This window comes from Homo sapiens, chromosome 2, assembly GCF_000001405.40.
Source record: "Homo sapiens chromosome 2, GRCh38.p14 Primary Assembly".
In the NCBI taxonomy this organism is placed as follows: domain Eukaryota; kingdom Metazoa; phylum Chordata; class Mammalia; order Primates; family Hominidae; genus Homo; species Homo sapiens.
This window is the reverse complement of record NC_000002.12, coordinates 14,989,822-15,014,091: the sequence shown is the minus strand read 5'-3', so window position 1 is coordinate 15,014,091 and position 24,270 is coordinate 14,989,822. Positions and strand designations below refer to the sequence as shown.

At 41.6% G+C, this 24,270-nt stretch overlaps 1 protein-coding gene across 2 annotated transcripts in view; it reads left to right on the top strand.

Moving 5' to 3' along the window:
• The window catches only part of NBAS (NBAS subunit of NRZ tethering complex), a 782,426-nt gene that overhangs the window by 547,243 nt on the left and 210,913 nt on the right, over window positions 1-24,270 (top strand). The window contains exon 53 of one of the 2 annotated variants that reach the window (XM_017004317.2): window positions 15,868-16,025. The exons of the other annotated variant lie outside the window; for it this stretch is intronic. The gene's annotated coding sequence lies outside the window, so the exon portion shown is untranslated. Of the gene's footprint in view, window positions 1-15,867; window positions 16,026-24,270 lie in introns of those variants that run through there. 2 annotated transcript variants of the gene reach the window in all.

The following is a 24,270-nucleotide window of genomic DNA, read 5'->3' as shown; positions in this document are numbered from 1 at the left end:
CACTGAATCTATCCCTTTATTCCTATATAATGTCATTATTTGTCTCCTTTTATTTTTTGACTTAAAGTCTGTGTTGTCTGATTTAAGTGTAGCTACTTTTGTTTGCTTTTGGTTTCCTTTTACGTGGAATATCTTTTTATATCCCTTCATTTTCAGTTGATGTGTGTTCACACATCACTGGTGATGTGATGTGCTGCTTCACAGGTGAAGCAATTTTCCTATAGACAGCATATAGTTGGGTTTTGAATTTTTATTCATGCAGCTGTCTATATCTTTTATTTTTATTTTAATTAATTAATTAATTTTTGAGGTGGAGTCTGGCTTTGTCACCCAGGCAGGGTGTGCAGTGGTGTGATCTCAGCTCACTGCAGCCTCCATCTTCCAGGCTCAAGCAATTCTCCTGCCTCAGCCTCCTGAGTAGATGAGATTACAGATGTGTGCCACCACACCCAGCTAATTTTTTTATTTTTTAGTAGAGACAGGGTCCATCATGTTGGCTAGACTGATCTTGAACTCCTGACCTCAAATGATGCCCTGCCTTGGCCTTCTAAAGTGTTGGGATTACAGGCATGAACCACCATGCCCAGCCCCAGTTGTCTATATCTTTTAAACAAATTTTAATCTTTTACATTCAAAGTTATTATTACTATTAAGGGAGGACTCACTCCTGTGATTGTATTGATTGTATCTGATTATTTTGTATATTCTCTTTCCTTTATTTCTTCTATTATTATTTATTTTTGTGGTTGGATGGTTTTCTATAGTAATAAGTTTTGATTCATTTATCTTTATTTTTTGTTTATTGGACAAACCAGTGAGTTTTATAGTTTACTTGTTTTCCTGATGGTGGTTATCATCTTTTCACTTCCACATGTAAGAGTCCTTTGAGCATTTCTTGTAAGGCCAGACTAGTTGTGATAAATTTCCTCAGTCTGGCCAGGCGTGGTGGCTCTGCCTATAATCCCAGAACTTTGGGAGGCCGAGGTGGGCAGATCACCTGAGGTCAGGAGTTCAAGACCAACCTGGCCAACATGGTGAAACCCCATCTCTGCAAAAAGACACAAAAATTAGCTGGGCATGGTGGCGGATGCCAGTAATCCCAGCTACTTGGGAGGCTGAGGTGGGAGAATTGCTTGAACCTGGGAGGCAGAAGTTGCAGTGAGCTGAGATTGCACCACTGTAATCCAGGCTGGGTGACAAAGTGAGGCTCTGGCTCAAAAAAAAAAAAATTCCATAGTTTTTGCTTGTCTGTGAAATATTTTACTGCTCCTTCATTTCTGAAGGGTAGTTTTGCGGGTAATAATATTCTTGGTTGACAGTTTTCTTTTTCTTTCAGTACATTTAATATATCATTCCATTATCTTCTGGCTTGTAAGATTTTTACTGAGAAATTCACTGTTAGACTAATATGGATTTCCTTATATGTAACTTGACACTTCTCTTGCTGTTTTAAGAATGCTTTGTCTTTGATTTTTGACAATTTGACTATCATGTGCCTTGGAGAAAAGCTGTTTGGGTTAAATCTTTTTTGAGTTCTTTGAGCTTTCTAGATCTGGATGTCCATCTCTCTCCCAAGACTTAGAATGTTTTTAGCTGTCATTTCATTAAATATATTTTCTGCAGCTTTCCTCTTTTCTTCTCTTTCTGGAACATCTGTAATGTAAATATTTTTTCACTTAATGGTGTCCTGTAAGTCCTGTAAGCTTTCTTTTCTTTTTTATTCTTTTTGTTGTTGTTATTATTTTCTACCTGTGTTATTTCAAGAGGCCTTTTCTTTTGCTTGGTATAGTCTATTGTTGAAGCTCTTGACTGTATTTTTTATTTCAGTTATTGAATTCTTCAGCTCTGGGATTTTTGATTTAAAAACGTGTCCGTTTATTTCTTGAATTTCTCTTTTACATAATGAATTGTTTTTCTTATTTCACTCAATTATCTATCTGTATTCTTTAATATTTTCCTGAGTGTCCTTAAGATTATTATTTTGAAAATTTTTCCTGGCATTTAGTATATTTCCTTATGATTGGGGTCTGTTACAGGAGAATTATTATGTTCCTTTGGAGGTGTCATGTTTCCTTGCTTTTTCATGTTTGATGTGTTCCTCTGTTGACTTCTATGAATCTGATGGAACAGTTGCCTCTTCCAACTGTATGGAGTAGATTTTTTAGGAAAATACTCATTCATATAGATGGATCTTGGGGTGTTGGTTTTATGGGGTGCATTGGCTTTGGTTGTAGATGGACACAGTAGTGTAGTCTCTGTGTAGTTGCTTCAGCAATAATCCATGCTAGTGATGTTTGTGAGTGTCTCCGTAACCTAGGCTGAGATTGTTTGTGGTAGTGGTGGCATGAATTTGCTGGGGTTGGGCTTTCTTGGTGTTTCTTAGGTTAGGGGCATGTGTGGGTTGGTGGATTGGCCAATATGGGGTCTGGATTGCTCAGGTTGGGGCCATGGGGCTCTTTTGCTGGCTGGGGGCATGGGTGCACAATTGCTAAGTCAGCCTGGAGGGGTGCCTGCTAGGGCAAGTTGGCAGGGCTAGTTCTCAGGCCCAGGATATGGGTGCACAGCTGCTTAGCTGACCTAGGGACATGCCTATCAGGGATGGCCCATGGGTCTGTTTCTCCGGTCTGAAACACAGGCACAGGACTGCTCACCTGGTCTGGGGGGCCATGTCTGATTTTTAAAAAAGAGGTTTAATACTTTTTTTTTTAGCTCTTCAAATTTTGCATGTACTTAGCAAATTGATCCATAGAAGTTCTTTTATACTGAGGGGTGGATAGTGACTGGCATTTGTTACCAGAGTTCTGGCTCACTCTCTCTTGGAGTTCAAAGCCCCAGCACTTCAACCTGACCACAGGCTCAGAGAACACAAATCCTTTCCTGTCTCTTTCCCATCCTATCTACCCTAAACCATGTCAGGAATTTTAAAAATTGAATAATTCATTATTAAGAAAGGAAGAGAAAATGTAACTCAAGCCTTTATTCATATATCAAGGTGAAATGCTTAGGCCCCACAATACCGCAACAATTGGATGACTTTTAAAAATACTCTTAAAACAATAGCAACAACAATAAAACAAATCAATGGCTTGAAAATTATCATACTTGTTATTTGAATGATTTGAAAGTTCCAAGAAAAAAGCTGACATTATTTATTAGATTTTAATATCTCCTGGTTGTATCAGCCTAGTGCAGTTATGAGAAGGCAGTGTTATGTTAGTGTGAAATCACAGAATCTGCACGTGGAAAGTGGGCTCGAATCTTATTTCTGCCATTAATCAACTATGTGTAATCTTGTTGGTTGTTTTCTTTTCTGGAGCCACATTTTGTGTTAATATATGTAATAGGGATAATCATAGCTCCCACTCCACCAATTTCATAAGATTTTTTACGAATAACAAATATTTGATATAAGATATGAATATTTCTTGTAAAATAGTTTATTTACCATAAGACCCTGGGGATTCACATGGTTACTGGGAAATTGGGCTGTGTGAAATGAGTGCTCAAAGGTGGTTTCACTTTGAGGACCAATGTGACTAACTACTTGAACTTGGTTGGGTTCACTTTCACATTGGTTTACCTCATTTCAGCTACCAGGTAAGGTAAAGGATATCCCTGACACCTAAGGGGTATAAGGTGGGGGGTGGGAGGGTTCCCTGCTGCCTCCTCTTTCTTTCATTGATGTGTGTGTTTTTCTCACACTAACATAATACTGCCTCTGTTCCCAGAGACTCCTCTGGGACAGAAGTTCCCCAAATCAAGGGCCTTTTATTCTTCATATTAATTTTTAATTTTTTTAGGCTGTAGAAGATGTATATGTTCTTTCATATCATCTGGTCCAAAAATGTGCTTCCTGGGTTTATAATTCCTTGCTGGGCTAATTAGTGTTAGAAGACAATTCTTCCTGTTTTCTTGGTGTTCCTGTATGGGTCAGGCCTTCTGAGCAATGGACATGGACTCACTATAAAAAGAGAATGTTTCCTCTCTTCCAGAGCCATTTGTTCCCATTGTAAGGGTAATAAAGAAAGTCTAAAAACATCTTTTCATCTCTCTAGGGACATTGCTTATGTATCAGATTGAAGAATTTCCCCTCTTCTCCCATGAGGCGATTTGTTTGTTTTCCAGAGCAAAACATAAAATCTCCCTCTCTCCAGAAGAGAAGTTGGGAAGATGTGTCAGTAGTTTGTTATGTAAGCTCTGAGTTTCATAATTTTGCGGTTCTAGTTCTGTGTTGCAAACTCCTGCATGTGTAGAGATATTAGGTCCACATTGCATGGTCCTGTGGGGAATCGCTCTATGGGAAACTGACACAGGCTGCTTCATCTCTTTCTCTGTGTACACACATGCATGCACACACATACATATGCACCGTATATATATATATATATATATATATATGCATTCCTACATATATATGTATATATATATGCATTCCTACATATATATGTGTATATGTGTGTGTGTGTGTGTGTGTGTGTGTGTGTGTGTATGATGTTGCAGGTTACCTTGCTAGCTTGTGGTTGTGGCAACATGTTATATCCTTCATGGCTTTAGCCTTTCCAGTTACTTTCTGCATTATTTACTGAGCCCACTTGAGGTAACAACCACATAGAGCTTCATTTTGGGCTCTGAAAATAGTATTTTTAGTAGTTCAAGTTTAAGAATCTTTGAAAATTGGAGACTTTTTTTTTTATCAGCCTTTAAAAGGAAACAGATAAATCTTTTTCTAATGGGTATTTACAACATTAAGGAAATAACTTGAGGATGATGGTGTACTTCTTATTTGTCAGTGTATGAGTGAGTCCTTGACATTGCCATTGTAGAATTGCTTTGGATAGATTACCATTTGTGCCTGGGATTGCTGGAGACTGGTTAAGAGAGAGGTTATTCCTTTTTCTTGTCTCAGTCCACAAACCTTTGTGAAACAAGGGGCGATGTTTTTACTTATCAGAATTTATGACATTTGTCATTTAGCAAAGGTCATTCTTGATGGTAGTTCAGCATTCTCACAGCTATTAGTGCATTAAGGAGAGCATTGGACTCAGAGTCAAACCTGAATGAGACCCAGAGGCTGATTCTGATTGTCACTGGTTAGATGGCCTTGGGAAAATCACTTTAATTTGCTAATCCTCAGTTTTTTCACTTATTAAATTTAAATGCCTGAACTGATTAACAGAAATTTTATGAGGATCAAAGGGACCAATAAATGAGGTATATTTTTTAAACAATGAGGTGGGAATACCTAGACCCATATAAGTGTTTTTAAAATTTAAATTTATTTATTTTTGCTACTAGAAAGATTTAAATACCCAATCTGGCTGTGTGTGCTTTCCTGCTATTCTTTAGGGCAAGGAGTGAAAATAAAACAATGTGTACCTGATTTCACCTATTTTTTAAATAAGTTTAAGGAGAGTGGCATTTAATTATCATGATAGAAAGTGAAATCATGGTACACAGGTAAGCAAGTAGCCCCGATCAGAGGTGTCTATACCTTGAGGAATGAGGGGCTCTCCAGAGTGATTTCTGAGGCACCATTTATGTCAATTAGATAGTGCCTTGTGGAAGGGACATGAGAAAGGAAACTGTAGGTTCTGGTCAAGTTCCTGGTTACCTAAGTACACTTCCAGGAGTGAATGGACCTTGGAGAGGCCACTTGGAGTGAGAGGTTATGTCACAGACTTGGATTGGCATCAGGGAACCATGGGAGAGAACTGGAGATGCATCAAGACTAATCTAGTGAATTAACTCCAAGAGGAATGGGTCTTTGGTAGCATCCTGTAGCACACAAGAGTGGTGTACTCTGTGCTCTGGAGAGACAGAACTTAGCGGGGTCTCTGTGACTAAGGAACCCAGGGAGTAGATGATGAGGCCCTATGCGGACTCTTCAGTGGCAACAGTTGTTTGGCATTGCCACTGCTGAAGGCTGTTTCTGGGTGTAATTACCTCTGTGGGTTGTCATTGCTGTTGAGAGTGACACTTTGGAGCCATAACTGTTGGAAGTTGTTGCCATGGCTAATGGGGAAATTGTCAGTGGGAGTCCAGGTTGGAACATCTGTTGCATAGCAACATCTTCCTAAGATGGAGGGACCAAATTATGTCATGTTATTTTGTTTTTGTCACTTTCAAAACATTATTTTGTAAATCTTCATGATAGCTCTTAAGTTAGGTATTATTATCTGCATTTTACAGAGCTAGGAACTGAACTTTGGGAAGCTTAAGTAACTATTAAAGTCATGCAGTATACTAAATTGTGGAGCTGGGATTTGAACTTAGATCAGATGACCAAATCCAAGCTCTTTTCATTTTCAAAACATTTTGTTACTTAATGGTCTTTAGCCTTTACTATCATCCTAGTGAGAGCCATGCTTGATATCTGGAGTTGGATGGAGATCTTTTTTGGTCAATGCACTCTCCACTAAAAAGAAAGAATCACAGTTTCCCAGATGACAATCTGATGAGATTAGAAGCTCAGACAATCTGGGATAGAGCTCAAGCTATTAACAGGGACCTTTACACTAACTCTACATACTGATTTCTGGTAAAATATGTAGTTCGCAAAGAAAAAACAAAAAAGCTCCACAAGAAAAAGGACTGCAATAAAAAAAACTTCGCTTCCTTCAAATAAACAGCATAAGTTTAAAAATCAAGAGAGCAAAGGATGGCAAATTCTAAGATATGCTTGAATTTAAAAATCATGAATAAATGAAACAAACATTAAGAGGGAAAATCAAAAACATTGATAGAATTGGCTTCCTACCTATCAAACAGCATGTCACTGAATGAGTCTCAGCAGCCACTGCTGGTTTCTAAGTGGAATTACCCATTATGTGGGAAAAAAAGACCATGGTGGCGCTCAGTGGCTGGCCTTAGATAATTGCCTCACCTAGTGTATCCGGATAATTTAGTTTTAAAATTAGTTCAAATTCTATGAAGATGAAAATCAGCACATGTATTAAAAATGCCCTTGGTGGAAAGCAAAGTGAAATGATATATGGTCCTGTGTCCTTGCTTGGCATCATGTCCAAGGTCCCCTGGGGTGGTTAAGAATTCCTGACTTAATGTCTACCTTAATGATGACAAAGAAGGACTAAATAGTGTTTAATGATGTTTTAAGTAGATCCTAAGTGAAGGCTCATGACCAACATCAAGGAGTAGAGGAAATACAAATGAAAGTCAGAAACAGAACAATAACCACAAACCTCTTCCTGCAGCAGTGAGGATTAATAAACTCAGAGAGCTCATTGGGACAAGCTAGCATGTATGAACCTGAAAGTACTTGCTGGCCTGTCCCAAGTACTGCTGATGGCTGGACATGCATAACCAGTTGGCTTCTTTGAACATCTGAGTTTGCAAAGCAGGTGCTTGGAAAGTTGGGAGAGACATTTTAAAAATCGTATTTTTAATTGTAAACGAATAGTTATGTATTAAATAAAGCTTATTTTTATATAGGACCACAGAAAGAAGAATAAAGTATTGACTTTAGTCTTATCACCAAACAGAAATCACCTTTGACCTTTTCATGGGAATCCTTCATATTTTACGCTAGCATAGATTTCATTTTTAAAGCATAGTTGTAATCATATTGTGTATACAATTAATATTTTTTCAGTTATTATTTAGTAAAACCATCTTAATAATTATATATTTTAATAGCTTTATAATAATGCCTTAAATAGAGGCGACACAGTAAACATACCCCATTAATACCTAGGTGTTTTCCATTTTTTCACTCTCATAAAAAATTCCATAATGAACATCATCGTGCATAAAACCTCTTTTCTGGCTTCCGGAGAATTCCTTTGAATCAATTTCCAAAGGCAGAATTTCTGAATCAAACAATATGATAAGTTCTTGATAAAGGCTGACAATTTGTTTCTTGGAAGGACTGTGATTTTTTTTCTATTATAATACGTGCTCATTAGCACTAGATATTCTTACTTTTGAACTCTGCTAATTTAAATTAAAAACCCTATGTTCAATTCATGTAAACTTATTGAGTCACTATTAAAACAAAGTATTTTACCAAGTTCATTACCACATATGTTTCTTGATGTTATTTGTGTTTTTCATGTTCTTTGCCTTTTCATCTTGGATTGGCTTCAAACTGGTCTCCCTTACCTCTGGTCTAACCATCCTTCACATGTTGCTAGAATTACTCCTAAAAGCAATACCCTCAATCACATTACTGCTCACTCAAATATTTCAAAGGATTTCCATGTCTACAGAAGTATAGTAAGTTTCTTACTCTCTGTGAAAACTACGGCAATATGGTTCAAGCTATCACACTGCCTGGTATCAGGTAGCTGCAATATGGAAGTAAATAGTCTCCTGAGAGTTGTGCAGTGTTCTCAACTCTTGCTGAGGCTTGTTTAGGGTCACATGTTTTCTTAAATTCTAGCAGGTAGGCAGCCAAGCTTTCTTTGATAAGAGAATCTGGATGAAAGAAATGCCACTGGAACTCTGGTCCCTATTTCGCCTTTACATTTCCAATGGAACAGCAGTGCAGGGACAAGCCCCCTCTGCCCTTGAGTCAGAAATTCCTGGGCTCCAGTCTGGCCTTTGCCACTCATGTGGCCATGGCCTGGGGCAGTCACTTAACCTTTGAAATAATGCCCATCTCCCAGAGTTATTCTGACTGTAAAGTAAAATGATGAAAAGGACTAGTGCATTGTGTAAATGAATAACTAAATGAATCGCTCTTCCAAATAAATAATCCTACCCCTTTAAAATATGAGTATGCAAAATAGTCAAACTCATAGAAGCAACAGAATAGAACGGTGGCTGCCAGGGATGTTGGGGAGCGAGTAAGGGGAGTCGCTAGTCAACAGGTGTACAGTTTCAGTTATGCAAGATGAATACATTCTAGAGGTCTGCTGTGTAATATCATGCCTATAGAGAACAATACCCATGCGCGCATTTAACAATCTGTTAAGGTGGTAGGTTTTGTGTTAAGTATTCTTACCATGATAAAATAAGAATTTTTAAAAATTTGGTGTTAAGGATTTTATTTTATAAGCACAAGTAACTTAGACTTGCCAAAATTCATAATACAGTTGCAGCATGTCTGAGTGAAACAATGTTTAATTGTTGTCAGTTTGGGTGTTAAGCTCACTCCTGGCAGGAAGTTCTCCCAGCTTTTCCTAAGGAATCCAGATCCTGACAACCTTATTAATATAATTTTACTATTGAAAATATAAACTTCACCATAGAATACAATGTATGATATCTGTCACTCACTGATCCCTGAAAACACTTTTTAAAGTCTTAATTAAAATTAACTGTTGCTGGGTCTGGTAGCTCACACCTATAATCCCAGCACTTAGGGAAGCCAAGGGGGGGTGGATCGCTTGAGTTCAGAAGTTCGAGGCTAGCTTGAGCAACATTGCACAACCCTGTCTCTACAAAAAAAAAAAAAAAAAAAAAATCAGCTGGGAGTGGTGGTCTGCGCCTGTTGTCTCAGCTATTTGGGAGGCTGAAGTGGGAGGATGACATGAGCCTGGTGGTTGAGGCTGCCACGAGCCATGATCGTGCCACTGCACCCCAGTCTGGACAGAGGGTGAGACTCTTGTCTTAAAAACAAAGGGTAACTCTTTCCTCACTCACCGTTTGGCAGGTAATAAATCATCACATGCCAGTTTGGGGGAAAGTATCAAGGATTCTTGTGTACAATGTTGAAACAAATATAAAAATCAGGAAAATGTAATGATAAAAATATTGAAAACATGATTTGTGTGCCAAAACTTTTCCTTAATTCTAATTGAATGCTATTTTTAAAAATTTCCCGAAACTGTAAATTGTTTGCATAGATTTGTAGGTCTAGATATCATTTATTTTAAACATTTGGCATCAAATCAGAAAATACAGTAAAAAAGGGACAAACACTGACGCTGTGCTAAATGAACTGGATAGTAAAGAAACGATTTTCTACGTTGAAGGAGACTAAGTTTATTAGTGACCAGAGGCCAGGAATCCAATTTGTGAAGATAATGCGAGATTGTGCATTTGAATCCTTGGTTCTGAGACACACTCTTAAATGTTATAGATTCCAGTGGCCTAAAAATATTTTAAAGTATGTCCAATTTTTTTACGGCATTTAAAAAATAGATGTCTGAAAACAACTGAGAGTTTCTCAAGTTGATTTATCTTGCACGAGTCACTAGAGTAAAGCCGATTTTCTGATACTGTGTCCTGCATTTATCTTTCAGCAGCGAGAGAGCATTCTAATTAAAACTAATCCAGTGGAGAACTTGAAATATCAGGTGCTTTAATGTGATTTGCTTTTTAACAGCCAAGACTGTCTTGCCATAAATATTTTGCCCCTGGTTGGTTAGAGCCTAATTCAAAAAAGTGACAAAGTGGTAATGACTTCTGAGAAGCTGTTCTGTCAGAAGAGCTCAGAGATCTCTTGGCTGGGCTCAGGCTCAGAGGAGGAGGAGGCTTGAGACCCTTCGTCCCCTCACTCTCAAGGAGCTACACAGTGGCTCACCTTTAAAGAGAGAATGAGAGACCTCCCCTAGTCCGTTTACATAAAATAGTACAATTCTCCCTCTCTTCCCTTTACCTGTTTATTGTTCTTCATAGCTTTGAGAACTGGGAGATGCAGAATGAATTTGTTCTTCTGTCTTCTTGGTGTTGGGATGTAAGTTTTATGAGTGGGTTGGTTTGTTGCTGTGTTCACAGTACCTAGAACCACACCTGGCACTTGATAAGCACTCCCTGTGTATTTATCAAAAGCATGAGTGGGCAAATAAATACAAGAATATAAGCAACTGCCAGATCATCTTCACCAATCCAGACACTCCTTGATCATTCAAAACACATGGAGTACAGAATCGGCATCTTCCACCTACACTATCTCCTTCCCCTTACCAACATTCATGTCCTAAAAGCCCAGAAGAAATGCTGCATCCCCAAAAGCCTGCCTTGACTTCTGCTCTGGAAATTAATTTCTCCCTCCTCTGAATGGCTTGAGCATTTTAAAATACTTGATACTGAGAGGTGACAGTGTGCTGGCAGTCCTCACAGCCCTCGCTCGCTCTCGGCGCCTTCTCTGCCTGGGCTCCTACTTTGGCTGCACTTGAGGAGCCCTTCAGCCCGCCGCTGCACCGTGGGAGCCCCCTTCTGGGCTGGCCAAGGCCGGAGCCGGCTCCCTCAGCTTGCAGGGAGGTGTGGAGGGAGAGGCGCCAGCGGGAACAGGGGCTGCGCGTGGCGCTTGTGGGCCAGCTGGAGTTCCGGGTGGGCGTGGGCTTGGCGGGCCCCGCACTTGGAGCAGCTGACCCGCCCTGCCGGCCCTGGGCAATGAGGGGCTTAGCACCCGGCCCAGCAGCTGCGGAGGGTGTACTGGGTCCCCCAGCAGTGCCAGCCCACTGGCACTGTGCTCGATTTCTGGCCGGGCCTTAGCTGCCTTCCCGCCGGGCAGGGCTCGGGACCTGCAGCCCGCCATGCCTGAGCCTCCCACCACCTCCGTGGGATCCTGTGCGGCCCGAGCCTCCCCAGTGAGTGCCACCCCCTGCTCCACAGCACCCAGTCCCATCGACCACCCAAGGGCTGAGGAGTGTGGGCGCACGGCGTGGGACTGGCAGGCAGCTCCACCTGCAGTCCCGGTGCGGGATCCACTGGGTGAAGCCAGCTGGGCTCCTGAGTCTGGTGGGCCAGCTGGGCTCCTGAGTCTGGTGGGGACGTGGAGAACCTTTATGTCCAGCTCAGGGATTGTAAATACACCAATCAACCCCCTGTGTCTAGCTCAGGGTTTGTGAATGCACCAATCGACACTGTGTATCTAGCTACTCTGGTGGGGCCTTGGAGAACCTTTATGTCTGGCTCAGGGATTGTAAATACACCAATCGGCAGGCACTCTCTATCTAGCTCAAGGTTTGTAAACACACCAATCAGCAGCCTGTGTCTATCTCAGGGTTTGTGAATGCACCAATCAACACTGTATCTAGCTACTCTGGTGGGGACTTGGAGAACCTTTGTGTCGACACTCTGTATCTAGCTAATCTAGTGGGGACGTGGAGAACCTTTGTGTCTAGCTCAGGGATTGTAAACACACCAATCAGCGCCCTGTCAAAACAGACCACTGGGCTATACCAATCAGCAGGATGTGGGTGAGGCCAGAGAAGAGAATAAAAGCAGGCTGCCCGAGCCAGCAGTGGCAACCCCCTGGGGTCCCCTTCCACACTGTGGAAGCTTTGTTCTTTCGCTCTTTGCAATAAATCTTGCTACTGCTCACTCTTTGGGTCCACACTGCTTTTATGAGCTGTAACACTCACCGCGAAGGTCTGCAGCTTCACTCCTGAGCCAGTGAGACCACAAGCCCACCAGAAGGAAGAAACTCCGAACACATCCGAACATCAGAAGGAACAAACTCCAGACGCGCCACCTTAAGAGCTGTAACACTCACTGCGAGGGTCCGCGGCTTCATTCTTGAAGTCAGTGAGACCAAGAACCCACAAATTCTGGACACAATACTATGTTAGAGTATTATATATATATGATATGTCAAATTATAATTTGATTTGACATTTACTATGTTGTAGCATTATAACTATTGTAATATAACTATATTTGTAATCTAAGTATGTAGGTTTTCTCCTGCTAGTCTCTGAAATCCATGAGGATAAGAACTGAGTTGTAATCATCTTTTTATCACCTAATAAGTCTAATATCTTACATTATATATGGGAGATATTCAATAAGTGATTTTGGAATAGCAAGCAAATGTGTGGCTGTTTGTTATATATATAAAATCACATGTAGCACTGGAATAGCTGTGTGTGTGTATAACATATATACATGTATATAACATACATATATATATAACATATCTCTCTCTCTCTATATGTGTATATATGTGAAAATCCTGGCGAAGGAAAGGTCTGGGAAGTAGATAGTTCAATAGTAGAGAGATCACTCAATGATTCCTTCCATCAACCTTGTGTTCCTCATAAGGGCATTAAATTTCTCTGGAAATTCATAACGTGTCATCAAGCCTATGCTATTTGAACATTGTTAGGACAATGACTGCTGGAATTCCTTCTTCCCAGTCCTGCCTGTGGGAGGGGTGCCGTGCTGTCCTGGACTCAGACACGCTCATGCCCATGTCTGTTCCCATCATGTACTGGCTGTGTGGTGTGTCGTTCACCCTCTCTGCACCTTAGTTACTTTGTCTATAAAATGGTGAGAGGAATTCTTAGCTTGCCAGGCCCTTCTGAAGGTGCTGTGAGAACATGACTGCCAAGTGCCCAGGTGTGTCTGGCACATAGTGGCCTCTCTCAAGCAGGAGCCTGATCACTACTGTCATTGGGCTTGAGCCATCCCAAATGCTTTGCACACCGCTTGCCTTTGTAGAACGTCCTCATCAGAGAGAAAATTAGAAATGCAGTTTATTTATCATCCTTCACCTCTCGGTATTAAATATTCATCACCAGCTCCTTCACAATTTCTTGGAATCTTGGAAGCATTCATTACAGTCATATTACCTGAGAGCAGCTGAGTCCACAGGAGGTAGGCGGGACATAAACTTTGGAAAATAATCAGTTTCAGTTTAGGTCATAGCAACTGCAATCATCTATGACTAGACTCTCGGTCAGTGTGCTGGGGCTTTCATGTATATTTTCTGTCCTCAGCAGATTTGTGTTCCTGCATTCTGAGGAGCAAGGTCAGGCTCCCATCTTCTCTAAGACATTGGCTCATTTTTATGCCTATTTGTAAAACTGGGTTAAATAGCAGAAAGAGTGGTTTTATGTATTGAAAACTGACTAGTCCAGAGTTACCCAGGAGTATCTCATTCTAAGTGGTTGGCTTTTGTTTTTTCAGTGAAGCCTAAGCACTTTACTTTCAGATACAGGGCAGTTATCCTGCTTTAAGGAATTGATAAGAAAGGTTTGATCCCAGCCCAGTGAGATTAAGCCAGCATGGTGCCTACTTTCATGGCAATCTCACCGCCCACATGTACATGTGCCCTGATATTCGTCACTCACTAAAAACATTTTTAAGTAATAAAATAATAGAGTGAACTGTGATTTTTCACTCACAGTTTGGCAAGCAAGTTGTATATGAACTTGGCCTTATTGGCAATAACTTCAATAAAACCAACTTACATGTACATTCTGCAATTTGCAAAGTTCACACTGTCATTTGTCATTTACCACATCATCTGGTATACACTACCCTATGCATTGTTAGCCCTGTTTTCCAGATGAGAAATGTGTGGTTCAAGGAATTTTGAATATTTGTGGAGCACATAGGCGGTAAATATTGCAAATGAGATATAAATTTAGGTCTTCTGCTTCCAACCCAATGAACTAAATAATAGATAAATTAATAGATAATGTATTAGTCCATTCTCACATTGCTATGAAGAACTACCTAAGACTGGGTAGTTTACAAAGAAAAGAGGTTTAATTGACTCACAGTTCCACAGGCTGTTCAGGAGGCATGGCTGGGGAGACCTCAGGAAACTTATAATCATGGTGGAAGGTGAAGAGGAAGCAAGCATGTCTTCCCATGGTGGAGCAGGAGAGAGCATGCGAATGGGAAAACGCTACATGCTTTTAAACAACCAGATCTCCTGAGAACTCGTTCACTATCACCAGAACAACAAGGGGGAAATCCGCCCCCATGACGCAATCACCTCCCACCAGGCCTCTGCTCCAACACATTAGGATTACAATTCAACATGGAGATTTGGGTGGGGACACAGAGCCAAACCATATCAGATAAAACTGATTTTTATCTGTACATAGGCTCAAGCGGTCCTTCTATATGCTGACTTGGCAATTCCCAGGTTAGGTTTGTAAATGGACTCCTCCACAGTGCTTTGAAATAGTTGGCTAGCTTACATTAATGTATTAACAAGAGTCATTTGCAAGCCTCCTTCTCCACCGAGAGAGGGAAGGTTAACTGGAGTGGAGCCCTCTGAGAATTGTCACAATGGCAGAATTCCTGCAGCCTTGAATTAATGGGCATTTGCTCCCCCTTCTTTCTGGTCTGCCACAGATGGCTGGTAGAGGCCCAGGAAGGTGAAGAGACTTTTAGAGGGTCTCTGAGAGGGAGCAGGGAAGCTGTAGTTTGCAGAGCCAAGAGGAGAGAGAGGCTCACTCAGTGCCTGAGCATTGTATGCTCACCTGAACATTAATTAGGACTAATTCGATGATTGCCAGCGTGCTGGGAGTCTCTTGGAAGATGATCCGATTTGGAGAAATTCAGCCTGCTCATTGGAAATGAAACTCATCAGGAGACCTTTTTCTTAGTGTCCTCTTGTGAATGAAAGTGTATTCCACTTCAAGAAGATGTGAGAGTGAAATTTTAATTGCATAAAAGACAGGAAATTCTCCAGGATGGTTCCCATAGCAACTGCAGTGTGTGTGTGTGTATGTGAGACACATTTAACATATGCATTTGGGAGAAAAAGCAGCTTATCTTCACATACAAGTCTAGAATGTGGAACTGTGAAGGGAAGGGAATGGGACATGAATCCCCCAGAGTAGCCTGATACTGGATTTACTGTTTCCCCCAATTTGTACATTTTCTCCTCACCATTGCAGTAGCAAACTGCACCCTTTTGTCTCTTCTCTTTTCTGGGCTTCACGTAGGTAAGGTACCGCCTCACCCAAGGACACCCTGAGGACAAAGCAGCTGACTCCTAGGAGACAGGGTCTTGTTGCAGGTCTCCATTGTGTGGGCCTTTGCCTCTAGAGATTGTTGAGCCAACAACCTGTGAGAGCAGGAGACCCGTGGGCTTAGCTGGCTGGCAGACTGGGCAAAGTCCCAACTTTCACTTACTAGTTCTGAAAATGTGGGCACATCTCTTAAGTAATCAGAGCATCCATTTTCTTTTTTTTATGTTTTGAAAATCTATCAAAGGAAGAAGAAACAACCACCTAGTGCACTATCGTGTTTGGGAGAAAGAAGAAAGGGAATAGGCTCAAGACTTCTTTTCTTTCCCAGAGTCCTGCAGGAAAGTCAGAAATCCAACTGGTTGAGTTTATACTGTTTAGTTGGAGGCCACCATGACCTGGAAGGTAAGATGTACTGTTTGCTGACACAGGTAGGGTGTAAAGAATAGACCATCAACCAGAGAGGAGACTTTCTGAATGGGAAAAAGCGAGGAGAAAGGAACAGATGAGAAAGTCCAAAATAAATTAGGATTGTGCCTCTGTTTATCTCACCTAACAGAGGTTGCCCCTCTGTTCATGTCTCTTTTCTGTGATTGCCTGGAAGCCAGCAATGTCTGACTCATCTCTTGGCTCCAAGACCAAAATCAAACTTATGGAAGCAGAGAGTAAAGGATGGTTTCTACTCTCTGGGATTGGGGGAAATGAGGAGATGTTGGTCAAGGAATATAGACTCCAGTTATAAGATGAATGAGCTCTGGGGCTCTAATACACAGCGTGGTGATGACAGTTTACAATACTGTATTGTTTACTTGAAATTTGCCAAGAGTGTGCATGATAAATATTTCCACCAAAAAAAGGTATTTATGTGAGGTAATGGCTATGTTAACAAACTTGATTGTGATAACCATTTCACAGTATAAGCATACATCAAATCACCATGTTGTACATCTTAAATTTATAGTTTTATTTGTCAGTTATACCTCAATAAAGCTTGGGGAAAATTAAAAAAAAAAAAAAACAAGCACAGGGCCTGGCGTTGGGTCAGTGCTGGGCAAATGTTGAGCTGAACTAGTTCATTGCAGAAGACCAAGTTCATGTGCCAGACTAGAAAGGGAAGCCACGTATAGTTTATTTATTTATTTATTTTAACTTGTATTTTAGATTCAGGTGTATGTGTCAAGGTTTTTTACATAAGTAAACTCATGTAATCGGGCTTTGTTGTACAGATTATTTCATCACCCAGGGATTAAGCCCAGTACCCAATACTTTTCTCTTTTCTGCTCCTTTTCTGCTCCTCTCCTGCTCCTCTCCCTCCATCCTCAAGTACATCCCAGTATCTGTTGTTTTCTCCTTTATCCATAAGTTCTCATCATGGAGCTCCGATAATTTAGTAAGATATTTGGCACCACATTTTTTTTTTATAAAAGAAAAGCATAAAATTGCTATTATAGGGTCAGAAACTTGGGTTTTCTAAATTCAAGCACAGTCTTGTTTTCTTTGTTTGTTTTAGAATCTGTATTGTTAATTTTCCTGTTGTTTGGATAAGGATCTTTCTGAAAATTTCAGTGTGTCTCCCTTGAGTTCCTTGGGATGGAGAAGAGAGATTTTAACTTTTGCACACAGCTTTGCTAGAGAGAAAATTGAGGGGGTGGTGACAGCTTTTTTCCTTCTGAGTCCTTGAAGCATTTTGTACTTGGTTTGTCTAAGGAAAGATTCTCTTACAATATCAGCATCTGCTTTCCTGCCCTTTGGAAGGCAGAAAGAGCTCTGGGATCCCCAGCAGACTGCTTCTTCCCATAATATTAAATTCAGCCCTGTCAAGTCAAGGTTTCCAATGTTGTTCCTGGCATCTGAGGGCATCTGTCATCGCAAAGAGACAACAATATCTTCCGACAGCCCAGAGCAATTATGTTGGAAGTATTTCCCTCTGGGCTGAGACATGGGCAGGTGGGCAAGGCAGAAGCAGATGTCCCGTGATTTGGAATGGGGATTTGACCTTGACGGACAGCTTGGTGCTGTACGCCGTCTGCCGTGGAGACTATCTGGACTGAAACTGGGACTCCACCACTCATTCGCTCTGTGCCTCTGGATAAGTTCTGTCACACCCCTAGGCTTCCATTTCTTCAATTGTAAATTGAAATCATAAATAGTATTTAGTTAGCTGAGGGTCATCAGGATGAAAAAAGCCAATATATATGAAAAGTCTTAAAATACTCCTGGCACTTAAGACGAACATAAGTATTAGTGGCTACTGTCCTTATTAGTGTCCCAGTGAATCTAGCTATCAGAGAGACCCAATGGGGTCTCTTCTGTCTTCTCTGGATTCAGACCCAAAAGACACGATTGAAGATCTGTGTGCCAAGCACTGTGACAGAGGCTTATAATTGTTACCTGTTTTTAACCTCAAAGGAAGACAACAGGGACGTCACCAACTCACTGACTTCTGAACAGGCCTGGTGATGCTGGAGGTGGGGAGTACATGGGGGGCACCTAAGACAGAGCTGTGTGTACTTGTGTTGGGGGGAAGAGGGGAGCATGATATGGATTATAACCATGGGGCATGGGCTGCCAGGCTGGGCATTAGAAGATAATAGACTGGCCGTGGTGGTGGGGACCTAGCTACTTGGGAGGCTGAGCTGGGAGGAGTGCATGAGCCTGGGAGTTCAAGGTTACCATGAGCTATGATCATGCCTGTGAGTAGCCACTGCACTGGGCAACATAGCAAGACTCTGCATCAAAAAAGGGGGAAGTTCTTTGGGGAGACACAGCTCAGCTCTGAGCAACTGAAGAACAGCAGATGTTGATGTGTCCAGGCTAGTGTCAAGTCAGCCTGAGGCATGTGGTCTGCATTTGCTGAACAAAGCACAGAGTGTGGGTGGATTATGCTGAGGTGGGGTGGAGTAGGACGGAATGGGGAAGCCTATTCCATGTGATGTTGTAGGATGCTGAGCAGTCACAAAGGTGAGTGTTCCTGACCCAGCCCAAGGGCTTAGAACAGGTGCAACAGCCCGTGGCAGGAATGGAGGGTTCCACATATGGCTGCTTCTCACAATCTCCAGGGGAGCTGTTTAAAATGCAGATTTTTCCAGCTTCATCCTTGTCCCTGCAAAAGACATGAACTCATCATTTTCGGCAAACTATCGCAAGGACAAAAAACCAAACACCACATGTTCTCACTAATAGGTGGGAATTGAACAATGAGAACACATGGACACAGAAAGGGGAACATCACACACTGGGGCCTGTTGTGGAGTGGGGGCAGGGGGGAGGGATAGTATTAGGAGATATACCTAATGTTAAATGACAAGTTAATGGGTGCAGCACACCAACATGGCACATGTGTACATATGTAACAAACCGGCACGTTGTGCACATGTACCCTAAAACTTAAAGTATAATAAAAAAATAAAATAAAATGCAGATTTTCCTGCCACACATCCAACCCACTTAATCAGAATCTCTGAGAGGTAGAAACTGGAATACCTTTTTGACATACTCACCAGCTGATTCATGCACAACAGTCCAGCCATGGGCTTCAAGGATGGGGTTTTGGGCATCACTGGTGTAGCCCATTGAGCAATGAGCAGTGATAAAGCAGCTCCCTGTTGGGAAGTTACCTGATACCTATAGTGATGCTAGGCTTTTCTGACTGAAGGAGCTTCAGCGTGTGCTAAGGGCAGGTTAAGAGAATGAGGAAGACAGCCTTGTTCCTGGCAGAGCCCACAATCCATGTGGGACAGGTAACGGGTTAAGGTTGGGAAAAGAAGATAGGACAAGGAATAGCAATCAGCCCCAGGGCTACAGGTGCTAGAGGCTCTGGCATGCCCGGAAGGTGGACCTCTCAGAGTGAGGGGAATAGCTGCTCCCAGGCTGTGACTCTCGGGAACCTTGTTAGAAGAGAATCGAGGAGCGTCAGCCACATCCAAGGCCCCTTGCTCTAGGAGGGTGCATCTGGAATCCCATATATCCTAGGGTCCGTTATTATCATAGCCCACCCTGGCACATGCAGGATGGGCTCTCTGATCTTTGAGCTGCTTCAGGCTGTAGGCACCTGCTGGGCTTTGAGGGTTTAGAGAAATTCAGCAAGACTGGATGCTAGCAGTGAATGTAATTCTACCTCCTCCTCTCTCATCTTTCTATTCCCACTACTGGAAACAATCCCTTCACCATCTCTCAATGGTTGAAGCTTGCACCTTCTTTCAAGGTACATCTGAAATGGATTTCCATTTGTTTATGGCAATCGGTTTTAAGCTTAAGGCAATTCAGTTCTGTTAAACATACACTTATTGAGCACATGTTATGAATGAATTCCTGACTATGTTGCTGGAATGTAAAAGAAAAATTAGGACAAGTTCCCAGTTCTCAGGGAGCTTGGTGCAGGGAAAGAAAGATGCATGTAAGCAAACATCCTTCAGTGTGCTAGGTACATGATAGAGATAAATTCTAATTTTTAAAAAGTCCTGTGTAATATCTATTTCTGTGCATGCTTTATCTCCTCTATCTGACTTTATCTCTTCTGTCTTCCGGACTGGGGACATGTCTCTGTCATTTTTGTACTCCCGCCCTCTGAAACAGTGAATGGAACTGTGTTGGTGTTCAATAGATATTTATTGGTTTGGCTTAAACCAAATTCTATATAATGATATGTTTTTAATAAATATAATTATTTGATTTCATTTAAAAGTCTCTTGGGAATACATTATATAATATCAAGCTATTGGAAAGACAAATTTAGGAGTGTTTGAGTTGGATTTAGTTTTATTTCTGGCAGTGACTGGGTTTTTAATAAACATGCTGGCTGCAAGGAGTAAAAATAAAATATAGTTTGAACATTTTTAGACAACTCTAAATTAGAAGAATTTGCCAACACTTTGAAATAGCAAATTTTGTGATTCAAAATTATTTGGACCAATTAGAGTATCGATAAAATTGAATGGAATGATTGTCGTTAATGTATGGTGTTGTTCTAGAAGAAAAAATTAATGTCTCTAAATGACCAATAAGAATGGAATGGCTGGAGATCATCTCAGCAAAGAAGAGAGGTTTGGGAGAGCAGAAGAATAAGACAGAAAAAAGGTAAATCAGCAGGTTTTGCTCCTCTGTCCCCTCCTCATGTCAACCTGAAACAATTTGTCTTGGATGTGGTAGAAATGAAAAAAAATAAACGGGACCATTGTGAGTTAAAGCATAGGTCTGCAGTGTTGTAAATAGTGACTTTGGTCAATTTAGCCTCCCCTAGTGTCCATTTTTCTCATGTGTAAAATGGGGAGCATGGAGGGTTCTTCCCAGGGCTGCTGTGAGTGAGAATCCAGTGAGGTGCTATATGTAATGTGCCCTACAGGATAAGTTGCTCATAGGAGACGCTCAATAAATGGTCACTCCCTTCAAAGGTCCCCTTCCCTGAGATAACTACAGGGAGCTTAGTGGGAGCTCAGAAATCAGGAACAGTTTCTCACAAACATTATAAAATTGTTTGGAGAAATGAATGTGGAGCCAGTAATGTACTGGGTGTTGGCAGCTGCAGTCTTTGGTGAAGGGTCACAAATGGCAGGTTGAAGCTTGTCTAGAATGGTGCATTGCTGTGGTGTGTGGCTTCGCTCTCCTTACCCCATGAAATTCCATGGCCAGCGAAGGTCCTTTGACCAGTTTAGAATCGATGGTGGTTGTAGGTGGTGGTGGAGGAGAGTGTTTGTTGTTACCTGCAAATTGCACACCTGAAAGCCTCTGCAGCTCCTCACTCATGCCTGCATGGATGAGGGATGAAGGACACTGGTGTGGAACATGCAGAATGTCTGGGCCTCCTAAGAGTGTCCCCAAAAAGCAAAGAAAATACACAGATTCGGGGCTGACTCCACACAAGCCTGGACACTTCTTGCTAGGGGCAGCCCTGAACCATCTCCTGAAAATGGAGAAATATCATTTGCATTTTTTGAAGCACTATTGTGTCCAACAAAATGTGACTGTATATTTTAATCATCCAAGCTTTTGAGAATGAGTGGAGGCACCATTACAAATTGTGCACAGATGACAGGAATAACTATGATGGTCTTAGGCACAACAGGATGTATGGTTCCCCTTGTCAGATACCCTGAGCAGAGGAGGGTATAAATTGGATTGTGCTGCCTGGAATTATTTTCATCATTTGCAAGGACTTGGGCACCTAGCTGAACACCCATCTGGATTTGAAGACTTCCTTTAGCTACAATTAAGAGTTTAATTCCCTGAAGACTCTGTTATGAGAAAGACCCACTAGGACTTGGGAGGGATAATGCAAATACCCATTTGCATAATGATTTACAGTTTTTAGAGCATTTTCACACATATTATGTCACCAATCTGGACCTCCTCCTGAAACATGAAACCTCCAAAGTGCAAGCTTGCTGCTTCTAAAATGTAGCATTGCCCACACTGAGCTCTGTTCCATTCCCACTTCTCCACCTTCAGAAAGCCTTCCCTGATCTCCACACACTATCTCCACCCTCTCAGCCAAAGGTGCTCCTCCTCCGTAACCTCCAGAGCGCTGTGCACCGGCATGCCCTGCTTAGTAGAGAGTGAGTCCTTGAGGGTGAGGCTGGGATTAATTTCCCACCGCATCCTGAAAGACAATTCAGAGTAGGAATTTGGAGAATGCTAAATCTGTCTAGAACAGTGCTCCTCAAACTTTAATCTGTACACCAACCACCTGGAAAGCTTGTTAAACTGAAGATTCTCATACAGCAGGTCTGAGTGAGGCCCAAGATTCTACCAAGACCCAGGTGATGCTGATGGTCCTTGGACCATACTTTGGATAACTTGGCTGAACATTGGAATCATCTGGGGAAGTTTTAAAAGGCTCCCTGCGTGGACCACACCTCCAGAGTTTCTGATTTAATGGGTAATGCACCTGGGCAGCAGAAAGTTGTAACAGCTCTCCCGGTGTTTCTAACGTACTTCAAAGTTTGAGAACCATGGTGCTGCAGGAAATTTGCCATGGGCTATACAACCTTCAAAATAAAGGCTGTGGTTCCCTGCAACACTGGGAAGAAGAGTGTCAATGGTACCTTATGTTTCTGGAGTTTGAAAAGGACTTTATGATTACATCTATTATTTCTTAGTTCCCTCCAACGTGGGAGGAAGGCGTCCTTCAGATAAGCAGCAGGCTCAGCAAGATGATCCTTACAGAGCTGAGACATTAATCCAGGTGGGTTTTTTTTTTAAATTATAATTTAATTATTTTTCCCTGCCGTTGATGGAGAAAGGGTTGTTGGTTAGATCTGGGTTCTAGTCCCAGCCCTGACTAGAGCTGGGTATCACTTGATTTTTGGACCCTGCATGTCTTCTATGTCCCCACGTTCTCCCATGTGCACACCAGGGTTGGCCCTCCCTGCAGGCCATCTGCCCTGCTAACTCGTCTTTCTCAAGCTCTAGATTGTGGATGGATGAAGACACCACCTCCTTTTGTCTTCCTCCTCTTCTCCAGCTGTCAAACTCCCACTCCCACTTCAAGCCCAGGCTCAGCTGTCCCTGCTCCCTGGGGCAGGTTTAGTCCCTCCCATGTCTCTCCTCTGTAGTTGTCACCATTGTCTATTTCTTCATTTGTTTCCTCTAGGCTGTGAGCGATTCAGCTTCAGGAACCATGGCTTATTATCTCATGTTCTCTATACACACTACAGCATCTATTGCAAGATGTCCTCAGTATATATGTTGTATTTAAAAAGATGGCAAAATAGCTGGCTGTGGTGGAGTGCACCTACAGTCCCAGCTACTCTGGAGGCTGAGGCAGGAAGATCCCCTGAGCCAGGAGGTAGAGTCCAACCTGGACAACATAGTGAGGCCCTGTCTCTAAAAATACAAATTAAAAAGTATGACAAAATGCCTTTATCTGCATTGGAGAGATGTTTTAAGACTATGAGAAGATTAAGAGGTACTTTGGAAAGTTAAAAGCATAATACTTACTGTAAGATATTATTATTATTTTTAACCGAGATGCAAACCTGTTTTTGCATTTTGTGCCAGAAATTTTCAGTGGCATAAAAAGTATTCTTGCTGTTTTAACAATTTTTTTTTTTGAGATGGAGTCTCACTCTGTTGCCCAGGCTGGAGTGCAGTGGCATGATCTCGGCTCCCTGCAACCTCTGCCTCCCAGGTTCAATCGATTCTCCTGCCTCAGTCTCCCGAGTAGCTGGGACTACAGGCGTGCACCACCATGCCCAGCTTTTTTTTTTTTTTTTTTTGGAGTTTTAGTAGGGACAGGGTTTCACCATGTCAGCCAGGCTTCTCTCAAACTCCTGACCTCAGGTGTTCCACCCTCCTCGGCCTCCCAAAGCACTGGGGTTACAGGTGTGAGCCACTGCACCTGGCCTGTTTTAACAATTTAAGGATTACAATGAGAAATGGGGTCATTTAAAATTCATCAGAAGATAAGGAATAAAAGAAAAAAAGAGAAAAAAAGAAAAGTTAACCATAATCTTGTTACCCAAATATAAATGAGTAAAATTTTGATATATTTCTTTGCTTTATGCACACAGTGTTTTAAAAAAAGAATTGTAATGATGCTGTTTGTGTACCATTTTACGCCCTTCTTTTTCATTTACAATTATAGCTAACTCATTCCCTTGTGTTATTACTTTTGTAAGCATCTTTTTTAGTGGCCATGTAATACTGTTCTAAG